At 39.2% G+C, this 26,310-nt stretch overlaps 1 protein-coding gene and 1 pseudogene across 8 annotated transcripts in view; both read right to left on the reverse strand.

The window, feature by feature from the left end:
• Window positions 1-26,310, reverse strand: part of AMPH (amphiphysin) — a 247,670-nt gene that overhangs the window by 140,061 nt on the left and 81,299 nt on the right. For all 8 annotated transcript variants that reach the window (XM_006715690.5, XM_011515271.4, XM_017011996.3 and 5 more), the window contains exon 2: window positions 11,167-11,247. In XM_006715690.5, coding sequence (XP_006715753.1) covers window positions 11,167-11,247 — 81 coding nt within the window. The remainder of the gene's footprint in view (window positions 1-11,166; window positions 11,248-26,310) is intronic.
• RN7SL83P (RNA, 7SL, cytoplasmic 83, pseudogene) lies at window positions 7,278-7,574 on the reverse strand (annotated as a pseudogene).

The following is a 26,310-nucleotide window of genomic DNA, read 5'->3' on the forward strand; positions in this document are numbered from 1 at the left end:
CAAAATAATTCACCATGTAGCAAGCATCAGAGTAACAGCTGATTTAAAGAAGTAGCACTAGTGGATAAAACTAGTAGGTGACAGTTTGATGAGAAACAGGACATGTACAGTCTCAAACTATATCCCCACAAAATATTTATTAATATTACTTATTAAATATTTATTAATTTTGAGAGAAAATATTTATGTATTAACTCTATACTAGAGATACCTGGCAGATATCATCTTATCTTACTAGAGATACCTGCATATCATCTGTTGAGCTCTGCCATTACAAAGTGATAAAAGTTAGCATCACTAGCAGTGGCACAAATTAACATGATGTGTGTTCTGACAGCATACACTGGGCATCACTTTCTTCTGTAGTAATCTTCCCAGAAGCTAATTATTAACACGAAGCTAATTATGAGAAAAGTATCGGGCAAATCCAGAGTGAGGGACACTCTACAAATAAACACTGGGCAGTACTCCTCAGAAGTGTCAAGATCATGAAAGGCAAGAAAACACTGAAACACTCTTCCAACAGAGTTAGTTTAAAGAAACTAATGAAACCTGACAATTAGGGGCAACAGGTGACCCTGGATTGGATACAGGCCCTTTAAAAAACACAATTAGGGCATATGTTGCAAACATTTTCTCTGGGCCTCTAACTTGTCTTTTCATCCCCTTCACAGAGTCTTCTGCATAGCAAAAGTTTTGTCATAGGCAAAATTTGGGGATCTGCAAATTAGATGGTAATACGGGATCAAAGGTAATTCACTGACTTTGACAGAAGGAACTACTGCTGTGTAGGATAGTGTCGTTTTTGGATACTAATGGATGGATGGATGGATGAATAGATGGTTGGAGGCATGGAGGCATGGAAGCATTCATATATAGATAGAATGATACAGTAATTGGGAAGTCTAGGTGAATGGTACACAGCAGTTCTGTATACTATTATTATAGCTTTTTGTAAGGTTAAAATTACTTCTAAATTTAAAATATACAAAATAAAATTGGGAACTTTTATTACAATATGAATTTAATCTTTTCTTGAAAATCTGATGTGGCAATATGGGGCCCACATCCTCCTGAGATTCGTGTGCACTGGAGTTGACAGCTGCTTCTTTAGGTCCCATGAATCCTATAATTCAGCACAGTCCTCACCACTCCTTACTGTTTTATACCTTGCCTACTCAGCTTGTTTATGTTCCCTGACACATCTTGGCAAGAATGTGAGTCTGTGGCTTCTGCCTTCAAGTGTGTTTGTTCTGACAGAGGCAGTGAGGCAGTATGCTTTTTCTAGGTAAGCCTATGAAAGGGGATATATTTTAAATGAAGTTTCAATGATGTAATTATGGAATCATTTGCAGTTGTGTGTGTGTGTATATATATAGTTGTGTTACTTGTGTGTATATATATATATAGTTGTGTATATATATACACAATCTTATATATCATCTATTATATATAATATATAGTTGTGTATATATGTAGTTGTGTGTGTGTGTGTATATATATATATATATATAGAGAGAGAGAGAGAGAGAGAGAGAGAGAGAGAGAGGGAGCCTTTGCATCCTGTACTCAGTCTTCCTTCACAGCGACATTTTACAAAATTATTGTACAATGTCACAACATAGATGCAACCTACCCATCTTATTCAGCTTCTCCCAGTTTTACCTGTACTCATTTGTGCGTGTGTGTGTGTGTGTGTGTGTGTGTGTGTGTGTGTTTAGTTTTATGCGATTTTACCACATGTGTAGGTTCATGTATCCATCACCACAGTCAGGATACAGAACTTTCCAGTCAGGACAAGAATCCCTTGTATTGACTTTTTATAACCACATCGACCCCAAACCCCCCTCACTCACTCTTGGCAACCACCAAACTTTACTCCATTTCTGAAATTCTGTCATGCCGAAAGAGTCACATAAGTGGAATCCCACAGTATAAAACCTTTTAGAATTGGATTTTTTCACTCAGAATAATTCCCTGGAGATTCAAGCAGGCTTTGGTGTGTGGCCGTAGTTATTTTCTTTTCATTGCTTACTAGTATTCCATAGTATGGATATACTACAGTTTGTTTAACTATTCACCCCCTGAAGGACATCTGGGGTGTTGCCAATTTGGAGCTACTATAAATAAAGCTGCTAAGGGCATTTGTGAACAATTTTTTTGTGAGAACATACATTTTCATTTCTATGGGATAAATGCATAAGAGTGCAGTTTTTGGGTTGTATGGTATACATGTCTAATTTTTTAAGAAATAGCCAAACTGTTTCCCACAGTGGCTATGAATCATTTCACACAATGTATGAGTGATTCAGTTTCTCCAAATCCTTGCCAGCATTTAGCATTGTCACTAGTTTTTATTTTAGCCATCCTGAGAGATGGATGGTGATTTCTTGTGTGGTTTTAATTTGCATTTCTCCGATGGCTAAATAGGTATTAAAAATCTTTTCATATTCTTCTTTGCCATCCACATATCTACTGCAATAAAATATATATTCATGGTTTCTTTTCTTTTTTTTTTTTTCTGAGATAGAGTCTCACTCCGTCACCCAGGCTGGACTGCAGTGGCATCATCTCAGCTCACTGCAACCTCCGCCTCCAGGGTTCAAGCAATTCTCTCACCTCAGCCTCGCAAGTAGCTGGGACTGCAAGCACCCACTACCATGCCCGGCTTTTTTTTTTTTTTTTTTTTTCAGTAGAGACGGAGTTTTGCCATGTTAACCAGGTTGGTTTCGAACTCCTGACCTCAAGTGATCCACCTACTTCGGCCTCCCAAAGTTCTAGGATTACAGGCGTGAGCCACTGCACCCGGCCTCTATTCATGGATTTTGCCCATTTTCTAATGGAACTGTTTAACTTATTTTTACTACGGAGTTTTAAGTTTCTTTTACGTATTCTGGATACTAGTCCTTTCTTGGATATGTAGTTTGCAAATATTTTCTCCCAGTCCATAGCTTGTCTTTTCATTCTCTTAACAGCTCTTTTGCAAAGGAAGTTTTTAATTTGGATGAGGTCCAATTTATCACATTTTCCTCTTTTGTATTGTGCTTTTGGTAGCAAATCTAAGAACTCTTTACCTAACCCTAGATCCCAAAGATTTTCTCCTATTTTTTCCCAAAAGTTTTAAAGCTTTATGTTTTATATTTAAGTTCTTGATATACTTTCAGTTAATTTTGTATAAGGGTTAGTTTTAGGTCAAAGTTCAGTTTTTTGGCCTATGGATGCCCAGTTACTATGGCACCGTTTGTTGAAAGGTTATCTTTCTTCCACTGAATTGTTTTTAAACCTTTGTCAAAAACCAGTTGAGCATATTTGTGTGGGTCTATTTCTTGGTTACCTATTCTGTTCTATTAATCTACATGTCTATCTCTCTGCCAATACAATGTCTTGATTATTTCACCTATGTGGTAGGCCTTAATATTGAAAAGAATTTTTCCTCCTACTTTGTCTTTGTCATTGTTTTAATTATGATAGGGTCTGTGCATTTCCATGTAAATTTTAGAATAAGTTTATCTATGGTCATAAAAAACATGCTGTAGAAATTGCAGGAAATTGCATTAAACCTATTGGTTAATTTGGTGACAACCAACATGTTTACTGTGTTGAGGCTTCAAATCCATGAATATAGTACATCTTTCCAAGTATTTAGTTCTTTTTGATTTCAGTATTTTATAATTTTAAGCATATAGATCCTGTATGTGTTTTGTTAAATTTACACATATATATTTCTTTTTCTTTGGAGTGATTATAAAAGTTGTGTTTTTAATTTTGATTTCCACATGTTCATTGTGAGTATATAGAAATGTGATTGATATTTATGTGTTGATCTTATATCTTGTGACCTCACTGAACTCATTTATCTGTTAGAGTAGTATTTTCGTTGACGTCTTGGGATTTTCTATGTACATAATTATGTCATCTGCAGACAAAATGAGTGTAATTTCTTTATGAGCTATACGCCTTTTGTTTCCTTTCATTTTCCTTATTGTACTGGCTAGGACTTCCACTTCTACATTGCATAGCATTAGCGAGAATGGACATCCTTGCCTTGTTTTCAATCTTTGGAGAAAAGCATTCAGTCTGTTACCATTAATTATGATATTAACTGTACGTTAGGTTTCTTTGTAGATGTTCTTTACCAAAATGAGGTAATTCTCTTCTATTCGTAACTTGCTGGGCATTTTTATTGTGGAGTGGGTGCTGAATTTTGTCACAAATTTTTTCTACATCAATTTATATGATCATATGATTTTTTTCCTTACCTTGTTTATATGGTAAATTACATTGATTGATTTTGGAATGTTAAACCAGCCTCGCATATCCTGAATAAATCCTATTTGGTCAAGGTGTATAATTCTTTTTACACATTGTTAGATTTCATTTGCTGATATTTGAAAGATTCTTACATGTAACTTCATGAGACATATTGGTCTGCAGTTTTCTTTTTTTCATACTATTGTTGTCTGGTTTTGGTATCAAGGTAATACAGCCCACATAAAATCAATTGAGAAGTGCTCCCTCCTCTTCTATTTTCTGAAAAAGATTATGTAAAATTGATATCAATTCTTTAAATGTTAGAATTATCCAGTGAAACTATCAGAGGGTGTGGAGATTTTTTTTCAGATTTTAAATCACAAATCCACTTTCTTTAATAATTATTAAACTATTCAAATTGTCTATTTCACCTTGATTAAGTTTTAGTGGTTTGTGATTGTAAAGGAATTGATCCCCTGTGGTTGTCAAATCTGTAAGTATAAAGTTGCTTGTATTATTCCCTTATTATCCTTTAGATGGCTACAGAGGCTATAGTAATATCCTTTGTTTCATTTCTGATGTGGGTGATTTGTGTCTTTTTTCTTGTTGTCAGTCCTGCTAGAGGTTTATTAATTTTATTGACTTTTTTCCAAAGAATCAGACTTTTGTTTCATTTTTTTCTCTATTGTTTTCCATTTTCAGTTTCATTGATTTCTGTTCTTTTTTTATTTCCTTCCTTCTGCTTGCTTTGGGTTTATTTTCTTCTCTTTCAAGTTTCTTGAGGTAGGAAATTAGATTATTGATTTAAGACCTTTCCTTGTTTCTAATGCAAGCATTTAATGCTATAAATTTCCCTTCCAGCATTGCCTCGGCTGCTTCTGGACAAGACACTTTCATTTCCAAGGCCTTGTATTCGCTGAACCTGGTTTTCCAGATAATCAATTTTTTTCCCAGGACCCTAAGTCCAGAGTTCTAATGCCTTCTATAATTTCCCCTATTACACCAGACTATCTTAAAAGAGCTTCATGAAACTCCTTCTCATTAAGGTGTGAGCAGGGACTTTCATTTCTTAACAGGGCATCCAGCCTCCCGGCTCTACAACCTTGGAAGAAGCGAGTTCCATCACTACACTCAAAAATCATGCCTGTTAAATATCAGATCATCTTAGTTGATTTGATCTATGCAGATCACAGATAATCCAGAACATGACCACCAAATCTTTATCCATATTTATATCCATATTTATAGACACTAAAGATAGACATCAAACATAGGATTAGAAGTTTCAAGGACAAACCAGAGGAAGCACTTGTAAAAACTTGCATGAGTAGATACAATGCATTAGTCCTCAATGTGTTGTCCCTGGATCAGCATCACTGGCATCACTTGGGAACTTGTCAGAAATGCAGATTCTCATGCCTCACCTCAGACATCACCTGCATTGAAGGCATTGGTACAGCACAGGCTGCTGGGTGCGACCTGCTGTACCATCACCTTCCAGGTAACTTCAAGGCAGCTAATGTTTGAAAAACACTGCTCTGGAGGGCACAAAACTTGCCAGCTTAGGTTCTTATTCAGAATCCAGAAGGTCTAGTAACCTGACAGGATGCTGTGTAGGGCAACTGAGGCTCTCCATACTGCCATTTAGAATTGGATCATTATTTAAAACAGATCTGATGGGATCACATTTAATCAAGGCAGTGGCTATCTCACAAGAAGGTCAAGATTAATATTTAATGAAAGGTAGATACATTAATATATTCACATCATGGTTATCTGTGGCAAAAACAAATGTTCTAAGGTATATGCTAGGCCTATCTGCTCAAGCAAATTGCAAAAAGCTTCTGAAGGTAAGTATAATTTATCGTAAATTAAAATTTTATCCACACATTAACATATATACTGTGGCAGTATATTTTTATTTTACACTCTTTCTTAAAACTTCTAAAATTTTTCTCTTTAGTCATTTATATGTACATATACCAGGTTCTTAAAAATGTCACGAAACCGCTTGCAAAAATACATACCATATACAACATCTCTTCCATCCCAGAAATAAAAATGTACTCCAGGAATGCACTCAAAGTGATAATTTCTGCCACTAGTTCAGCTTCAAGTTTAGCAAGCATTTGTTAAGTTTACTTGCAAAGCACTAGCTCCCATGGAAATAAAAACATAGAAGCAGCAAAACAGGATCGCTGTGTCCAGGAGGTGTGAGTTCAGTCTAAGGAGAGGACGTGGCCCAGCTTTAAACATCTGCTAGAGCATCCAACTCATGGGAGGCTGGTCTGAATTCTCACCACTGGAGAGGATTTCAGGGTCCCAGGGTCTCTTCTCTTTTTGGTTCATATTACACAAAAGTTAGCCTATCACTCAGTCGTGGCCATGGAGGAGCTGCACAACACTGCTATGGTATTTCAATGAGGGAATGGAAGCCTATGGAGATGCTAGAAGGAGAACCAAGGCTCTCTCTCCTTTATTTGAACTATTGTTCTTAGATGGGACCTGGATGAGGGTGCTCCCACCTGCACTCACTAAAATGTGTCCAAATAGTTGGTTATCTGGGCTCAACCAGCCCTCAAGGTATCTTCTTTTAATTAGCACACTTGCCACAGGTGCAGCATCTTACTGGGCGAGTTTATTAGCAGGAAGGAGGGAGAGAAACCAAGGACCTTCTTTCCACAGTGGGACCTTTTTTTCTGCTCATTAACAGATCTGTCAGCAGAAAACTGGTAGAACTGAAAGCAGGTGATGTTCACACCAGTCAATTTTGCTACTTGTTAACAGCTTTGATAAGAGACCAAAAATAGAACGGGGAAGAAAGGCCCTCTGAGGAGGAAATGAAATCAGATTTTGTTCTTCCTGCTGGATTTCTAAAATCCTTGCTCTCCTTAGCATGCATTGTCATGGAAAATTCCAAGTTTTTTGTAGAAGAGTTCATTCTATTCCCTGATGTACTACTCCTAATTCCTTCCTTCCTTCCTTCTTTCTTTCTTTCCTTCCTTCTTTCCTTCTTTCTCTCTTTCGAAATGAGGTCTCACTGTGTTGCCCAGACTGCAGTGCAGTGGCTGTTTACAGGCACGATCCCAGCACTGATCAGCATAGGAGTTTTGACCTGCTCCATTTTCAACCTGGGCAGGTTCACCCCTACTTAGGCAACCTCGTGGTTCCCCGCTACTGGGAGGTCACCATATTGATGCTGAAATTAGTGCAGGAACCCAATTAGCATAGCACACAACAGCCCAGGACTCCTGGGCTCAAGTGATCCTCCAGCGTCACCCTGCTGAGTAGCTGGAACTACAGGCACGCACCATGGCACCAGGCTCTCCTTGTTTTAATTAAGTAGTTTATGAAACATGAACCACAAAAGCTACAGCAATTGGGAGTCCAATGGACAAAACAAAGTATGTACAGACCCTTTATCGATGCTCTCAGTCTCACACAAACCATGTTGAAGGAAAAGAAGTTTGAGATCAAAAGGAAAACTTAGAGTTGGAATAAAATAAAGAAAAGCCCCAAGCCAGAGTTCAAACACAGACCTTTCTGCCACTTTTGTTTCCAACATGAACAAGCAAGGAATATATCAATAACTATAAGGATCTTATGATTTTATAAAAGGAATCTAAAAGCAAGATAACTGAGCCCCCATAAATGTTTGAATAATTCTAGAACATCCTAGAATGGTCTACTTCTTTATTAAGCACTACTTGAGTGTGGTCAGGGGACTATAATACAATGCACAAATCCAAATATGGTTTCATTTTATACTATCAATAGTATCTTTTGGGATATAAAATATATATACTCGTAGAAAAAATATGGAATCTAGGTTTCCTAGATTAGATAATGCCTTTAGAGTATGTAGCCTTTAGATAATGCTTTGTCTCTTCAGAGTACTGATTCACCATCACATTAATACTAAGAATAATAGACCTTGCAGATGTAACCATAATCTTGGCAGATCCTTCCTTCTAGGTTAATGTTTCTACATAAGTACCACTCCTTTTTCAGCATACCCAACACATGCAAATTGATCACCAATACATATTGGGGGTAAGAGGATTCTTCTCTCCGTAGAGCATTAATAAAATCAGTCTTCAGCTACACTTCTCAACCTTTAATATGTTTCAAAAGAAAATTAATAAATCCCTCCCCTTCTCTTCCTTCTATCCTCCTTCCCTTTCTCCTTGTCTCTTCTAATATACAAACAGGGGTAAGGCACTCTCCTTCCTCACTCCACTATAATGATTATAAACTTTCTTTTTCTAATTAAAAAAGATCAAAATGAGGATAGGAAAATGCTAGATATTTTAGATGCAAAAATATTTTCAAAGTGAACCAAATGGGGTCAAGAGACTCCCTGAGAAATAACATTCCCTATATTAACAGTCTATTTGCCTTACTCTTATGAAATAGAATTACTTGTTCAAATTTCCCCAAGTTTTGAAGTTTCACACGTTTTAAAATCTGCTAATATTTCTTGGGAGAACTAAGGTGGTAGTCTTCATGGGTGCTAATATACTATGCCCCATAACATTTGAAGATGAGTATTGTATATAGTGACCAAAATAGATAGCAGGACAGCAGTTTAAAGTCACCACATGCTGCTGCTGCTAGTGGCACAAATCATTCTGCCAATGTAGTTGATGATTTAATCAAATTGCACTTTTCTCTAGTACCTTCAACAAAAAACAATCCTCACCTGGGGCAGTCAAGAAAGCTGGGAAAAAAAAAAAAACAATGAAAATTCACTGTAATCGGAAAATGCAAAGTGCTTCCTGGCATGACTGCATTACTAAACCTGATGCTTCCAAAGTTAACCTTCTAGGGTGCTAACAACATTAAAGTGCCATAAAAGTGATAGAGAAAAACTCCAAGAGCAAAGAATTAATTAGCTCCATGGGGACATGCCAGACAGGAAAACAAGGTTTCGAAGGGTACAGTGTGAATCCTTAGGTAGGGAAAACTGTAAACATGAATCACTTCTTCAATCTAAATCCAATATTTTAGAGCAGACATTTGGGATTGCCTGCAAAGTCACAGGGCACTGATGGACAAGTTTGTGTATGGGAAGTTCCTGCAATCCAAGACAATGATCTATTTGAGAGCTACCCACACGCAGGAGATGTGTGAAAAATCACCAAATGAGAACAGAAGTTGATGTGAAGACCCTCTTCTCCTAGAGGAGACTAGGAGACTACTTATTCTGTGGGCCCAAGTCCAACATTTCTCTAGGAATTCTCTTTTCTACCTTTATTAAGCCAAAGCTCTCTGTAATATTTGTTCATTTGGCCATGATCAATTTTTCTCTCCGTTACTGTTTTGTTCTCTAGCTCCCCTCTCCCTTTTCTCATGTTCAGATATAACACGTTTGCTATCCCATTCATGGTAAACTGACTACCTATCGCACATGCCAACACTTAGTCTTGGGATGAAACTGGAGACATTCAGGAATGCGTTTTGGCAAAACTGATCTACCTGGCTCCATACCTGCTGAAATGTATAATCCCTCTTGGTAATGAAAAGAAATAGAATGTCTTGGTGAGAGAAAGAGCAGGAACCCTGATACACAAATGGAAGAAAGAAACCTCCAAGGTCAGGAGCAAAGGGAGCAAAATAAAACCTGTGATGATTTCCCATTATTGGTGTCATCTCTGAGGCTATAATTCCCTCTGTGGACACTGGTAACTCCACTGACAGCAGGAAAAGAAATCCATGTCCTTATATTGTTCCCCACATAATCTGACTTTATAATGCGCAAACCCCATTTCCCAAGCCCTTCTCAGCCTGCCTTCTTCCTACCCCACCTCTAAGATGATCTCTAGATTTGAGGCTTCTAACCTCAGACGGCCCCACTCCTATCTTCCCCTCCCCAGCCCTTACGTGTGTTACCTAAAGAGAGATATTCTAGCCAATTATCCAAGCCTTAGAGATCAAGACATAGTTTAAAAATAGTTTCTATATCCACGTGTCTGTTAAACACATACACTAAAGGAACAAACATCACAATCTGTTTCTCAACCTCTTTTTCATTGTCATCTCCCCAAGGAGTCTTTTAAGACTTTTTTTTCTGAATTACACCCCCTGTAAAATTTTAATACCGTAAGTATACTATATGTCTGCTTATCTAAGATATGTTTATCTATGCTTTATACACTAAAAAGGTTTTCTTCACCCACCAAGAACCAATTTTCAGCCCCTTAGGGAAGATATTAGTATAATCCCTGTTGCGAATGCATGCTCTTGAAGCATGCAACAATTAAGGTCATTTTACCAGAAGTGTTAAACTACTGCTTTTCTAATGTTCAATGAAATATAAATCTTCAGAAACACCAGCATTCCTATAGATCCGTCATCTGTATTACAGTGGTCGGAGACCGGGCCTGGTAGCTCACACCTGTAATCCCAACACTTTGGGAGGCCTAGGTGGGTGGATCGCTCGAGTCCAGGAGTTCAAGACTATCCTGGGCAACATGGCAAAACCCCATCTCTACTAAAAACACAACAAAATTAGCCACATATGATGGTGTACACCTGTAATCCCAGCTACTTGGGAGGCTGAGGTGGGAGGATCACCTGAATCCAAGGATGTTGAGGCTGAAGTGAGCCAAAATTGTGTCACTGCACGCCAACCTGGGCAATCTGAATGAGACCCTGTTTCAAAAACTAAAATATTATAAAAAGCTAAAGCAGTCCAGGACAGCAGAGTCTTTATCTCCTGGGATTCCAAAACCTACTCTCTATGGCTCTTTCCCCGTCTTCAATAGGAAATTCTCCAGAATTAGCAAGTGTTACTCTCAAGTTAGTGCCAACTCCATCTAGTCTTTTTTTAATCTTAATGCATTTTACTTACATACTAAGACACAAACACATTTAAACAATTTCCCACTCCAGAAACTAAACAAATGGACTCACTTCTTGCCGTTTGAAGTTCTGGACATATTCTTCGAACTGTTCGTCTTTTGTCTCATCAGCTTTCCCCAGCTTTTGGAGGACCTAATTTGCAAATAAAACAAAATGGTTTAATTTAATAATGTTTTCAAAGAAAGATGTGCATTTTCTGTTAATGGAGCAAGGCTGTTGTTTTGCTCTGAGGAGTAGAGCAAAACTATCAGCACTTCTAATTTTTCTGTTCTGGAAGCATCTTGGCTTGGCAGCTCTGGAGTTGAACAAAAAAAAAAAACTGAATCCCAGTCCCGCCCCTCACAGGCTGTGTGGCTTTGAGCAAGTGTTGTGCTACACTGCACTTATTTCTTTATATAACTGTTTCCTTTAGCAGGCTGTGCGTGACTTAGAGACAGAAGCTATGCCTTATTTGTCTTTTTGTCCAAAGCATCTGGCACAATGCTGAATGCATAATTGGTACTCAACTGCTTGTGAACAGTAGACCAAAGCTGTCTGACTAAAGCATTCATCCACTTCAGTGGTCCCCAAACTTTTTGGCACCAGGGACCAGTTTCATGGAAGACAATTTTTCCACTGACCAGAGGGTGGCGGGGGGAATGGTTTCAGGATGACTGAAGCACACTACATTTATTGTGCACTTTATTTCTATTATTATTATTACATTGTAATATATCATGAAATAATTATACAACTCACCATAATGTAGAATCAGTGGGAACCCTGAGCTTGTTTTCTTGCAACTAAATGGTCCTATCTGGGGCTGATGGGAGACTGTGACAGAACATCAGGTATTATATTCTCATAAGGAGCTTGAAACCTAGATCTCTCGCATGTGCAGTTCACACTAGGGTTTGCTCTCCTATGAGAACCTAATGCCGCTGCTGATCTGACAGGAGGCGGAGCTCGGGTGGTAATGCTCCCTCACCTGCTGCTCACTTCCTGCTGAGTGGCTGGGTTCCTCACCGGCCACAAACTGGTACCAGTCTGAGGCCCAGGGTTTGGGGACCCTTGATCTACTTCATAGGGACAGTATTAGAAGCCAGGATGATGGTAAGTTCCGTCTCACCATCTTCTGATACTCCCTTCAACTCAATAAACACTCAAAGAAATCATGGGATACTCAAGGCCCCATGCTAAACACGGGTCACCCAGAAATACTAAAAAACAAGGCCCCAACACTTGATCCTAAAAAATGTATATTTTAGCGGAATAGACAAGGCAGGTCCACAAATAACAAATCAAGGATAAGTTAAAGACACAGCATAGAGTCTCTTTGGGACACAGGACATAAGTAACAAATTGTACTTGCTGCCTTTAAAAAGTAGGGCAGAAGGAAGATAACTAATATACTTTAGGAATACAAGAACTCATTTTCCTGCATAACAAAATAAACAATACACATCCCTTTTTTAACTAGACATTTTCATAGCTCGTATATTTTCCCCAAGATACATTTATAATGTTATATTAATAAATAAACCTAAGTATCAAAGTAGTTACCCAATAAGTCAGAGTTCATGCAGATTTCTTCAAGAGGTCAATTTTCTTCGGAGCAAAAGTAATTATTCTAAACGAAAAATGATTTTGTATTCTATTCTAAAAATAGTTGCTCATAAAATGTGCTAGTATTTCTTCCTTTTCACTGTCATTAATAAAGATATATGTTTTAAATAAAATTGTAAACAGATTCACACATGTATTACCAATTATACAATATCACTCAATTTCATTTCACAAACCAATACTACATGTAAGTAATATGAAATATGCTATTTTTCATTGTAAATGTATTATTTTTCAGAAGCTGCAGGAATCTAGTATCATAAATATTAAAAGGACACATAATCACTGTATTAACTAATACTCTCCTGTCACTTATAGCAGGGTTTCTTTGAAAGGTGGAGCAGAATACACTGCATTTTTGGAAGAATAGGGCATTATAACTAGGGAAGACTTGATAAACATAAGAAACATGAAATTATGTATATATGTAAAAAGACTATAACTATGTTAAAAAGTTAATAGTGGCTATTTCTGGGTGATAAGATTAAGAGTGATCATTATTTTCTTCTTTATAACTTTCTATATTTTCCACAGTTTTCTCAATGGTTAAAGTAACAAGAAAATTCATTAACATAAATACGCAAGAGTTTAACATACTATAAAGTTTTTGTAAGAAATGTACACATTAGATTTTAGTACAAGTTAAGTGGATGTATTAGTAGCTGGTTAAAAACTCCCAGCAAAAAAAATTCCCATCAAAAAATATTGATAAGCAAATTAATATAAACTGAAAATAAGACTTCCAGAGGCAACCATGAGGGACCTATATCTGATTGAGTGGCTCACATGTAAGATAAAGATATTAATAGTGCCTACTTCACAGTGTTGTATGGAACCACCAAGGATACACATGGAAATACTAAGCTATGATGGCCAGCATATAGTTAATGCTCAATAAATAATATCTATTATTATTATAGTTATTTTTATCTAACCCCACTGAACTTCACCAATGTATAAGCTTATACTGAGAAAAAGCCAGGGAGAATGTTGAAAATGTTACATGACCAGAATCAGGATTCACAAAAGACCTTCTTTAACAAGATGAAATTCAACAAGGATAAAATTTAGGACAAAAACTTAACTATACAAGCACCAGATTTATTACTCAACTTGCAACCAAAATGCAACAAGACAGGTGTTAGGGATGGGTGGTTTCCACCCTTAAGTAGAAGTAAGGGATGACTTAAACAGATCGTCAATATGAGCCAACAAAGTGATGTTGCTGCCAAAGCATCTAACGTAATCTCAGTCTGCACTAACAAAACTTAACAGCTATCAGGAAAGTGGTCCTGGACGCTTCCAGAGGTGGACAAGTTGGTAAACGCACAAATACACAGAAAATCTGGAGCCAAAAAAAGGAGCTCTCAAAAAGGCAAAGATAGTTGATACTATGTGATGAGAAGAACACTTGATATGATTTGGTATATTAGCAGGGAGAAGAAAAGACCCAAGGAAAAGAGCACAGCCATCCTCAAACACTGGAAGGACCATCAGAGTAAAGAAGGATCAAACTTGCTCTGCCAGGAAGACCCAAAACTCACATCAGCAGGCAAAAAGTGCATTAAAAATTTGTTTTCACAAAAAGTTTTCATCATAGTTTCCTAGAAATTAAATAGTTTGTTGCTAGAGTTAATGCGCTCACCATTCCAGAAGTTACATGAGCTTCACCAATAGTTAGGGTCTCAGAGAAGAGACTTACTCATCAAACAGGTAAATAGACTAAGTCACATTTCAAATACATTCTGAGAATCCATAATAAATGTATTACATTAGGCATTTTCCCTAGTGAAGAATGCAAATCACAATGAACAGTAGCAAAGAAGAAATCCTCTTCATATTTACTAAAGACTGTGTGTCAAACACTGGGCTAAGGGGCTGCAGGAATAACAGGCTGCATTCTAGGGACTGTGATCTTTCAATAGTATTCAAGCCCAGGGTGGGAGGTGTGGAACTGGAGTGGACAAGGGTGGCATGATAGGCAGAGGACAGATTTCAGAAAGGCTTAGGCAGTAAGAATCAGAACTTTGATTTTCTTGTACAGACCATGGAGAGCCAATGAAGTGTTTCTCTGGAGGAAGCCACATGGAGAGGTCTGCACTCCTTGGTGACAATGTTAGGGACAGATTAGAAGAAGGCAAGATAGGAATAATGAGACCAGTTAAGAGGCTTTTTAATAGTCCAAGCAATAAACGACAGAACCGGAGCTAGGAAACAGATCAGTCTTTAAGAAACATAATGCACAGTACATAATGGCTTATGGGATGAAAAAGATGAAGGACAGAACAGAGTGAAGGATGACCTCAGATTTCTTTGGGGGAGACTGAGTAGGCATTGATTCCTTCAAACAAATTAGACATCATTTTGGACATGCAGGGTTTGAGACAGCTCTGTGGCATCCAGGTAGAGATATGGTAAATAGCATGATATGGCCAAGGTTCTGAGAGATGCTCTGAGCTACACTTATACTTTGGAAATCACCAGAGTATGGTGGTAGTAAAGCTACTAGAGTGTATAAGAAAGCCCAGAGAAAATATGAGGTTCAGAAAGAAGTGAGCTGAAGACAGTCCAGAAAAATCATTATTTGAAGAACGGGCAGAGGAAGAGAATCCTTGACAGGAGACTGGGGACCCAGAGGTATGGTCAAACCAGGAGCAAATTCATAGAAACCAAAGGAGACAGTTTCAATTGCTACAGAGAACTCAAGCAAGTTAAAAACCAAAAGCCCTGAAAGTGTCCACTGGATTTAGGAACCAGAAGGTTCCTGGGATCCTTCCCAAGGGCTATTAGTGGAATGGCAGTCAGAAAACAGATCACAGTAGATTGAGCAAATAGGAGGAGAGGAATCAGAAGAGCAAGTAGGTACTCTTTCCAGAACTTGGGGGCATGAAGAATCAAAGGAGCAATACTTGACCCTGTTTCTAGGCCAGAGGGAACTGATCAAAGGAGGCAAGAGCTATAAGGGGGTCACACAGTAAGAAAAGTTTCAAAGGGGGTGGCAACTCAGATTCACCAGAAAGGACCCATCTTACTCAGGAAGAGGCACAGCCATTCCTCAGAAACATGAAGGATTTCTGAGAAGGCAGGGAAGATTGCCTTTGTAAAGGCCAAATTGGAAGGAATGCACACACAGCAGATCCATCTCTCCTGTGGGGTAAATGACCAGATCATCTGCTGAGCAGCACTGGGGTGAGGTCACGGGAAAGGTCCCCAGGAGAGGGGAGTGATTCAGATGTGGAACTGGAAAAGATGAGAACCAGAAACACATGACATGAATTTTACATGAAACTCTAGGCCCCACTGAGGCAAAGACCATGATGTGCAGTTGCCTACATGTAAGCAGTTTTGTGATTTTTCTCCAGCAGCCTCAATGGAGGTGGGAAGACTGATCTGCTATATAGAAAAGATCTTAAGACACCAAAGACAGTGAAACCTAGAACTGAGATGACTAAAAACATCTTTTGCCTTGCTCTATGTCACGAGTATTTGACAGTGAGCTGATAATTTAAATGACCTCTTTCATTAACCACTCCTTTGGCAGTGTTGAAAACACCAATTAAACCTGAACAGTGTGGCACTATTGATATTACAGGAGGATTACTATGTATTTATGTATTTGATATGCAGATTTTGACATCAACATGACACATCTTCCACCTACAGGCAAAAGGAAGAAAGTTCAGTGCCTCGTGCATTTTGGTTTAAGACTTGAATCTTTTTCTTCAAAGACAATTTCATCTACATTGACACGTTAGTATTTTGAAACAGTAAGATTTTTGTTGTTACTTTTAGTGCTGCTGTTTTTCAAATGCAAAATAATACACTATGTTGACTAAGCTTTTCAAATTCCACTTCCTTTCAGTGAGATTCTGACATATTCTGTTAGGGATGTGTGCTCCTCCTCCAACCCTCACCCCAAGCTCAGAAGTTGTGATCTAGTCCTAAAAGACATCATGACATAGGCAAGTAAAAAAGTAAATAGGAAGGAAAAGCAGGAATATGGTAACTTGGAATATTTCATCTTAATTGCCTTCTCTTACCATTTTAAGTTAGGAGTGGAATATTGTGTTGGCAGCTTTCAAAAAAGTGGTTGGCATTTAAAGTCAAAGATAAAGTTCACAATCTTCCATTCCACACAGAAATAACTTCTGTTAATCAGGGGAAAAGATCAAAGAAAAGTCAAGCTATGAGAAGGTGTGACCCCAAGCAAAAAAAAAAAAAAAAAAAAAAAAAAAAGCTAGTCCTACAATCAGAAATGGGGCAGTTGACGAGAGGAAAGGCTGCAGGCCACAAAGCAGTTCAAGGTGAAGGCCAGGCATGGCTTGTTACTGAGACAAGAATGATGGCAGGGTTGGCCACCAAGATGCCTTAGTGGCATTCATCCATTTGATGAGGGCTCCAACTAGACAAATTTTCAACTCTGGGTGACTCACGCTTCCTTGAGCCAGACTCTAAAAGTCAAGAATAAAATCACACAATTTAATTAGTCTTCTTTAACAAGGAGACACCTTTCTCTTCACACTTTCTGTTCTTAAAAAAAAAAAAAAAAAAAAAAAAAGAAGAGCACATAAAATAATGTGTACATTCTCCATGTAGTTAATCAGGAGTAAACTAAATCAGAAGGCCATGGCCTCTTCTGAACAGGACATGGAGGGGTGGTCTTCTACTTGTGCCCATGTCCAGATGATTCATTCATTCATCAGTCCATATACCCACCTATCCATCAAGAGTTCTTATCCTGTGCTCACCCTAACACTACAAAGTCCCATAACTTATGACTGGAGAGGCCATCAGGGGAGGTAAGTGCAGGGTAGCTGCTTGTCCTAAAGCTTCCTGCTGGGCACGTCCTACACTGTTTCCCAAACTTCAGGGTACTAGTCCTTTGACCTCTTTCCGAGTGTGTGTCAGGACTTAAGGAAGTGGATTTAATTTGCCCTAATGTGAGAGGACTAAGATGAAACACTAGAAATGCATCCTTCGGTGTGGTTCATGGGCCTTTAAGGTCCTCACATTGTCCTCCAGCTTCCCCTCTGGGGGATTTATTTCTATACCACTATGACATCTACTTCTTACCTTAGTAGATTTTAACAGTGCATTAGCCATCACGTCATCAAAGCCTCTGAGGCTGGCATGAGCCTTCCTGCCAATTCTGGGAAACACTTCTGGGAAAGTAAACAAGAATAGATAAGAGAGAATATTCACAGCCTCTGTCCCATTTGAATGGCCTTCAGACTTTAAAAGGTTGAGAATGACATACAGTAATTACATGTCTCATACATGAGTAGGTTTATCCTAAGTGGGACAGAGGCAACTGGGAATTAGAAAACTAGGGAGAAAGGACAGAGGCAACTGCGAATTAGAAAACTAGGGAAAAAAGAAAATTTAGTCCCTAGATGGGAACAGAGGTAAGTGAGAAGGGCCCTAAAAGGCAGTGCAGTAAGCACCTGCCAAGGCTGCTTTCCAATCACACATCTACCTGAAAAGGTATCATGTTGCAGAATGCTGCTCTCTTCTCTCCTTCCTAACCCTTTCAATTTCAGGACATTTAGTCCTCTGACTTCAAGAGAAAAAAAAATATTGGTGGGGAAAAATAGCTTGAGGAATATTGATCTGGCAAAGATTTGAGTCCTAGCATCCAAGATGGTCCTCTTCTCCAGGAGTTGCTGCCTGCTGGCTCTCCCTCCAGATTGAGTCACCTTGTCCCAGAATTACTTTTTCATGAACCTGATATCCTCAGTATCCAACCCAGAGTATAATAATTATACCAAAATCCAGTGGAAGTCTGCTAAAGCCTGTGAGTCATCCCATGAGACTCGGATAAACACCAGATTTTCCTTCTCCAGTGGCCCCATTCACAAACAGAGCACTGTCTCATGTCATTATTGCACAGAATAATGCAATGAATCTCCAACCTCTTTAGATCATGTAAATTAGTCCTCATGTTCCTTAGCTAGGCAAAGGGATCCTCCATATACTACCAGCCAGATGTTTGAGAGCAAGCTTACATCTGCCACACTGGTAGTAATCTATCCTGCATCAGAGCTGCTGTAAACATACGTGACCACAAAAGCCAGAGAGGGTTCTACATTTGGGAAATTCGCCACAGAACGGGTCTGTTCCTGATTGCTTTATACAGATTCTTCAGGCAGTTTTCATGTCAGTCATCCATTAGACCAATAAAAGATGAGTTAGCAATGTAAAAACTGACCTCCTATAATCCCAACACTTTGGGAGGCGATGCCAGGAGAATTGCCTGAGCCCAGGAGTTGGAGACCAGCCTGAGCAACATGGCGAGACCTCATCTCTACAAAAATTAAAAAAGAAAAATTGTCCGGGTGCAGTAGCTCACACCTGTAATCCCAGCACTTTGGGAGGCTGAGGCAGGCGGATCACAAGGTCAGGAGTTTGAGACCAGCTTGGCCAATATGGTGAAACCCTGTCTCTACTAAAAATACAAAAATTAGCCAGACATGTTGGTGCACGCCTATAGTCCCAGCTACTTGGGAGGCTGAGGCAGAAGAATCACTTGAACCCAGGAGGCAGAGGTTGCAGTGAGCCGAGATCGTGCCACTGCACTCCAGCCCAGGTGACAGAGCAAGACCCTGTCCCACAAAAAAAAAAAAATAGCCAGGCATGGTGGCATGTGCTTGTGGTCTCAGCTACTTGGGAGGCTGAGGCAGGAGGATTGCTTGAGCCCAGGAGGTTGAGGCTACAGTGAGCTATGATTGCATCGCTGCACTTCAGCCTGGGTGAGAGATCAAGACCCTATCTCAAAAAAATAAAAAATAAAAAAACGCTGACCTGCTGTACAAATATTAAAGAAGATGTTGACTCAGGTAGAACAGAAATTCCACAAAACTCTACCCAGGATTTCAAATGGGAGCTGTAAGTTCCCTAAGGCAAGAAGGGGCTGCTTGTGATGATGGGTATGAAACAGATGAAGCAGATAGATAGAATATGTTCTTGCTTTTTTTCCTCTTATAAAAAATGCCCACTTTACTAAATCTATAATTCTCTAATTTATTAGCTATGACCTATGGAAATTTACAATATATCAAGCACAGATCTAAGTGTCCTATATCTAAAAATGTATTTAATCCTCCTGATAATCTTGTGAGTTAGGTTACTATGATTGTGTTCATCTTACTGATGAGAACACTGAAAATTAGAGAGGTGAAGTAATTGATCTCCGTCATACAGCTGGTATGTAACCAAGTTTATGTAAGGCTAGGATTTGGTTTTCAGCTACCCTTCTGATTTACCATGATCTTTCTGGAATAGTGTTTCCCAAAATGTGTTCCATGGGAAATAATCTCAGGAATCTCTATTCAAAAAAATCCAGGCGATTCTGTTTGAAAAATACCAAAGACTATATATCCATCTACAGAGTCTCAAAGAATACTGTTAAAGAAAAAAAGGAAGAAATCGCAATACCCATAAAGTACAATGTGAACATGATGTATCAATCAATGATTAATTTTTTACTCATTAATTAATGAGGAAACTGGTAAGATTCTAACCACTATACTATAATGCCCTAAAAACAGGAGCAGAGAAAGAAACACAGCCTGGTGACCACACTCCTCTACTTTCCCCTTGACAATTAAGTCATTTTCCTCTATTTTAGATTCTACTCTGACTAACCATATCATATTGTCAGGAACTCAAATGTAATAACTGCTTGATCCATACTTTTGTTAAATGGAAACTATATGACATCATCTCCCTCCCAAAATAGGTTATTGTATTAATTCAAATACCCTAGGAGAGGAAGCAAGTTATACAAAATGTATGTTCTCCCTACTCTGTCATCACTTAGAGGAACCTAATTAGCCTCTGATGAGCAAAAGGCCAAAGAGGACATCCCCTCCTTGTAAGAATATTATGGATCAGGCCACCAAGGTGTCCCATAGGAGCAGCAGGAAAACACAAATGACCATGGCCTTTCTCTAGATACTGGGTTCTATATCTGGGGTCCATGAACAGATCCCAAGATGTCCAGGAATTGCCTGGAATTGTGGCTAATATAATACGGCTGTGCCTTTTATCAGGATGGGAGGAAGGGTCTCCTGGTTTCTGTAAGGTGAAGAACCACTGAATTTTAAGAGACTTCATGGGTACAAGTGGAAAGAAAATAAGTGCTAATATCAAACAAAACTGGGCCTCACTTGATCACTTTTGAGAGCTGGATAAACTTTGCAAAATGATTAACTTGGTTGAGCCTCAGTTTCTTCATCTTTAGAAATGGGAGGATACCAACTCTAGGAAGACTAAGTGAGAACACAAGCAAAAGCTCCTAGCTTGATCTGAAAAGTGTTTAATGAGGGTTTATTCTTTCTTTTCTCCTTGACTTCATATCTTCACTTTAAGTTGCAATATCAAAGGTCTGACAGGGAACTTAGATCTTCCAGTTGATCCAATGGAAGAGATTCTTAAGAGATTCTTACGTGTTTGGCCAAGCTCACATCTTCGACTTTCTATGATACAGATGGATCTTTTAGAGCTAAAGGGATACTGTAGAGTCTATGGAAACATCTGTGCTTAGAGAATTATTTTCTGGCAACTCTCTTTCTGCAGCTCGGTAAGTGTCTCTTGAGCAATTCTATAATTTCAAGAACCATACATGTGCCAGCAATGTTGCCAATGCAACCAAGAAAGCCTAGAGTGGTGGTCTACATTCCTAGAAATCATCTTTACTGGTGGTTTCTCACATTTGAGCAGACTTTTGTAGCAGCAGGAAATGGAATCCTTCCATGTGACCCCATTCAAACCTGACCAAATCCCTCCATCAGATCTGCTAATACCTGTCTTCCTGTACAGGAAAATCTGGGCTTGGGGAATAAGGGTGGATCCGGCTTTACACCAAGAACAGCTTGCTTTTTCCCCCTTAAGGTTTATTTTCAAGACTTAAAGCTATTTGAAAGTTCAGTTTGTTTGTGGCAGAGGCGGGGCTGTTGTGATTTGGTTTGGTTTTGGTGGAAAGAATAGTGTGACCAGAATTCTCACACCAAAATTTCCACTGCAGTCCTACCTGGGGCCACTGAGTGACATCAGGAGGGCCACCCATCCTCTTTGAGCAAACTTTCTTCCTGTTTTTATTAAATGATGCCTTTTGGTAATTTGCCTCACAAACACATCATAAATGAAGAAAAAGAGATAGGCTACACGGTACTTACGTAACTTTTGAAAAAACATTCTGCATAATCTCAGATTGGTAGATGTTCTGCACAATCTCAGAGTGAGGTACCACCAAAATTCCACAGGTTCTTAAGTGGTCCCCCAAAAGGCATGCAATATGCCCCAACTGCCAGGACATAATTACCAAGGATTTCAAACAGATCCAGCAGGATGTGCGTGATCACAAAGGCAATTTCACCGATGGTTTCTATATTTAATGTTTATTGATCCAAAAATAAAAATAACCTGATACAAAACAAATTATACATACATTGCAGGTTTGAATGGAAGTTAAAAAATACAGGGGGGGATGATTGCTAATAGACCAAAAAACCAAACCCTACTTCCTCTGGTAATGACTCCTAGTTGAAGGCTGGACACAGTATTTTCAGTTCAGTTTGTCCACGTGGTCGTTTTCTAAAGATTGCTCAAGAAGGAACTCTGAGTGCCTTCATAACCTTCCTTGAGAACCTGGACAGAGGGTAACGGAAGGTAGCAGAGAGATGCTGCCCCTTCTGGCTATCTGAGGCTGCCTATGTCAGAGCACACAGCTTCCAGCTCTGGAAGTACCAAAAGCTGAAAATACTTCTCACCAGCAGAACAGGCAATCAACACAAATGAATAAACAGACAAATGAATGAATTTGTGAAGCACTAATTATTTTTGTATACATTTCTATACTTTGATCTGTGCTTTGATTTTCCACTTTACACAGCTGTTTTAAAGTCTGATCTGCATGAAGTGAATTTCTAAAAAAAAAATTAAACACTATTTTGTAGGAGACCTATGTTTCAGATTTAATCTGAGCTTCTCAAACTGAAATTTCCATGTTCATATGATTAACATGGATATTTTATAATAAAAAGTTGGATACAAAACCTGCAGGAATTTTTTAAATAAAATTGGGACTTCAAAGAAATATTGTGTTACCAGTATGTGCTTTGGGCAATATCATCACATTCTCTTGTTTGCTATTTGGGTATCCGGAGGGGTATGTTTTACGATGCAGTGTTTGGGATATAAGAATGACTGCATGATAGATGGGTGGGAAGGATAGAATTCTATTCTGGTGACCCTGGGTAACACACCTACCAGCCTTGCATACAGATAAGTAAAACGTGATACTGGAATTGCATTTCGCTAGCTATTTACACCATCTGTAAATACTGGCAGACACTTCTATGCTGCATTCTCTCCAGTTGCCCCTCCAGATCCATTCTCCACCCTTCTCCACACTGCTGGGTGCTCCAGGAAGCTAATCCCTAAGAACCGCATCCTGCCCAGACCCTCTGGCTTCCCTCTAGTCTCAACCAATGGTAAGCATCAGCAAGAGATGCAAGGGCGGGCAAAGGTGGGAGGAGGGAGAGCCTGGGGTTCTGGTTCCCCTGGCTATCTCCCAGCCAGCCACCACCAGCAGCCATCTCATCCCCTTGCCTTTCAGGTGGCCCCAATAATTGCATCTCCTCTCCATATGCTTTGATAAAAGCTCCCTCCCCTTGCTTTTAGGCCTGGGGAAAAATGTCCCCAGCAGCCTCCACTGCCCCTAAATCCCTTGCTGGTTTCCCATAACCCTCCCCACAGAGAATCTAGAAATAGAATTTGGGTCTCAAAATTCTTAGCTCAAAATCTTCCACTACCTTTGTACACTTAAACTATGAGAAGTAATGAATTAAAACAATCCAACACACTCCTAAAAAAGCATCACTGTGCGTTACGGTGTAGAAACGGTGCAGAAACAAACTGGTACAATTCACCAGACCAAAAACAACTTGCATGCTAAGCAAGCCTGAGTATACTAATCCCACAACAATGGGGTCTGCCAATCACACACTTTTCAGGAACATAAGCCCTGCAGTTGACAAAGGATAATTATTAAAAAGTGTTTAGTAGGATGTGTTCAGCTGTGAACCCAAAATATCTGAGACAAGTCTCAGTCAACTTAGAAAGTTTATTTTGCCAAGGTTAAGGACAAGCTATGACACAGGCTTAGGAGGTCCTAATGACATGTGCCCAAGGTGGTTGGGGCACAGCTTGGTTCTATACATTTTAGGGAAACATGAGACATCAATCAATATGTGTAATATGTACATTGGTTCCTCTGGAAAGGCAGAACAACTTGAGGTGGAGAAGAGGGCTTCTAGATCATAGGTAGAGAAGAGACAAACAGTTGCATTCTTTTGAGTTTCTGATTAGACTTCCACTGAATATACAACTTACAGAAATAGTCACTTACGCCTTCACTGGCTTAGTGAAACAATAGGGCAGTGGAAGCAACCAGATATACGCATTTGTCTCATGTGAGCCTCAGGGTGATGACTTTGAGTTCTGTCTGTCCTTTGCCTACTAGGAATTTCCTTGTGGGCAAATTTTTTTTTTTTTTTTTTTGTGACAGAGTCTCGCTCTGTCGCCCAGGCTGGAGTGCAGTGGTGCGATCTCCGCTCACGGCAAGCTCCACCTCCTGGGTTCACGCCATTCTCCTGCCTCAGCCTCCCGTTTAGCTGGGACTACAGGTGCCCACCACCACACCCGGCTAATTTTTTTGTATTTTTAGTAGAGATGGGGTTTCACCATGTTAGCCAGGATGGTCTCGATCTCCTGACCTCGTGATCTGCCTGCCTCAGCCTCCCAAAGTGCTGGGATTACAGGCTTGAGCCACTGCACCCGGCCCCTTGTGGGCAAATTTTGAGGGAGGTATGCAGCCTTTTTATCTTTGTATTAAACAGCTATGTTATTTAGGAATAAAATGGAAGCAAGTTTGCCTGACACAGTTCCCAACTTGACTCTTCCCTTGGCTTAGTGATTTTGGGGTCCCAAGATTAATTTTCCTTTTATATGTCCTTTGACTGGAGGTATCTAAAATGAAGTGGCATCATTCATCTGGGGTAATATCCAAGGTTCATTGTCCCATGCCAAGGAAATCAAGGTTATGAACACACAAGGAGTGAGGTTAAGAGAGGAGGTTTAATAGGCGAAAGAAAGAGAAAAGCTCTCTGCTGCAGAGAGAGGGGGTCCCGAGCAGGTCTTCTGGTCCATAGTGAAATGCAGATTTTATAGATGAGCTTGAGAAGGCAGTGTCTGATTTACATAGGGCACAAAAGATTGGTTGGACAAGGTGTGCCACTTGCACACGTGAAGAACTGGTTAGGACTAGGTGTGCCGTTTGCATAGTGCACAAACAAGCTGGCTGCCTCACCCTAATCTTTTATTACGCAGTTGAGTTGTCTACGTGGCCAGTGCCATGTTGTCTGCTTTTTCACTGTGGTAACAAAGAAACAGAAGATGGATCCTCCATGTTGAACATGCCTGGTTCTCAGGTAGCCCTTTTCTATTGGCACAGCTGCCGGCATTCACCTGTGCAAGCTTCCAGCTTGCTTATCTATGTTGGCAGCTCAATTTTTCAGGCTGATTGTTTTTAGAAAAGCAATGATTTAGGGGCTTTGTTTTTTGTTAAAAGGGAAGCCTTGCTGAGGACTCCTTTACCCTCACTATCTGCCTAAATAATTTATTTCTAGCTGCTGTATCAAAAGGGCAGAAGTTGTTTTCCCCTTTTAATGACTGCAAGACTTATCACAAAAGTTTACACAACATAGCTTCATCATTATTGGTAAGATGTTGATTTTCCTCCATTGAGAATGCAAGGCAATCACAACCAATTTCATAGGTACATAAGAGACAAGGTACATAAGATCTGGCTCTTTTGAAGAAATTAACAAGCTAATTCTCAAAATCACCTGAAAAGGAAGAAGATGCAGAATAGTCAAAACAATTTTTGGGAAAAAGGAGAATAAAGAAAGGATGCTACATCCCACTCCAAAGCTCTTCAGAGACAAGAAGCCCAACCTTCAGAATACAAAACTGAAAATGTGATGAGTTATTTCTGCCCTGCTAAAAAGGTAGTTTCATTCAAAACCTTTGACCCTAATACCTAGAAAAGACTAAGCATAGTAAAACTAAACAACCACAAACAACTAACTTCCTATGAGCCTTATTTCATGTCCACAGGGAAATCAAATCCCACATATGGTCTTGGTGTAAAGCACAGGGGCTGTAAGGTATTAGAAAAATCGGTGTAGAAAAAAGCTGGACTGTTTTCAGAAAAATGACCAACCATGTTACTAAGACAAAACCTCTCTCTATGGACTGCATTCTCACAAGATAATTACTTTAGATTCACCAGATATACTGGTTCTACATCTTATTATATGAAATAATATGGAAGTATTTCTCTGCCTTCTATTTAAAATGATCGAGATATGTTTGCTTTCTAAAACTTTAGGTTTTGTTATTCCACTCCTGTGTATCTGTTAAAGCCATAATTTACAACACTTAATATTTTATTAGTGAGAACATTGAAAGAATGTTGTTGTCTGATCAATACAACATCCTGGTTATCCGAAAGGAGTAAACACTTCC

The sequence above is a fragment of the Homo sapiens genome, chromosome 7, assembly GCF_000001405.40.
Source record: "Homo sapiens chromosome 7, GRCh38.p14 Primary Assembly".
Classification (NCBI taxonomy): Eukaryota; Metazoa; Chordata; class Mammalia; order Primates; family Hominidae; genus Homo; species Homo sapiens.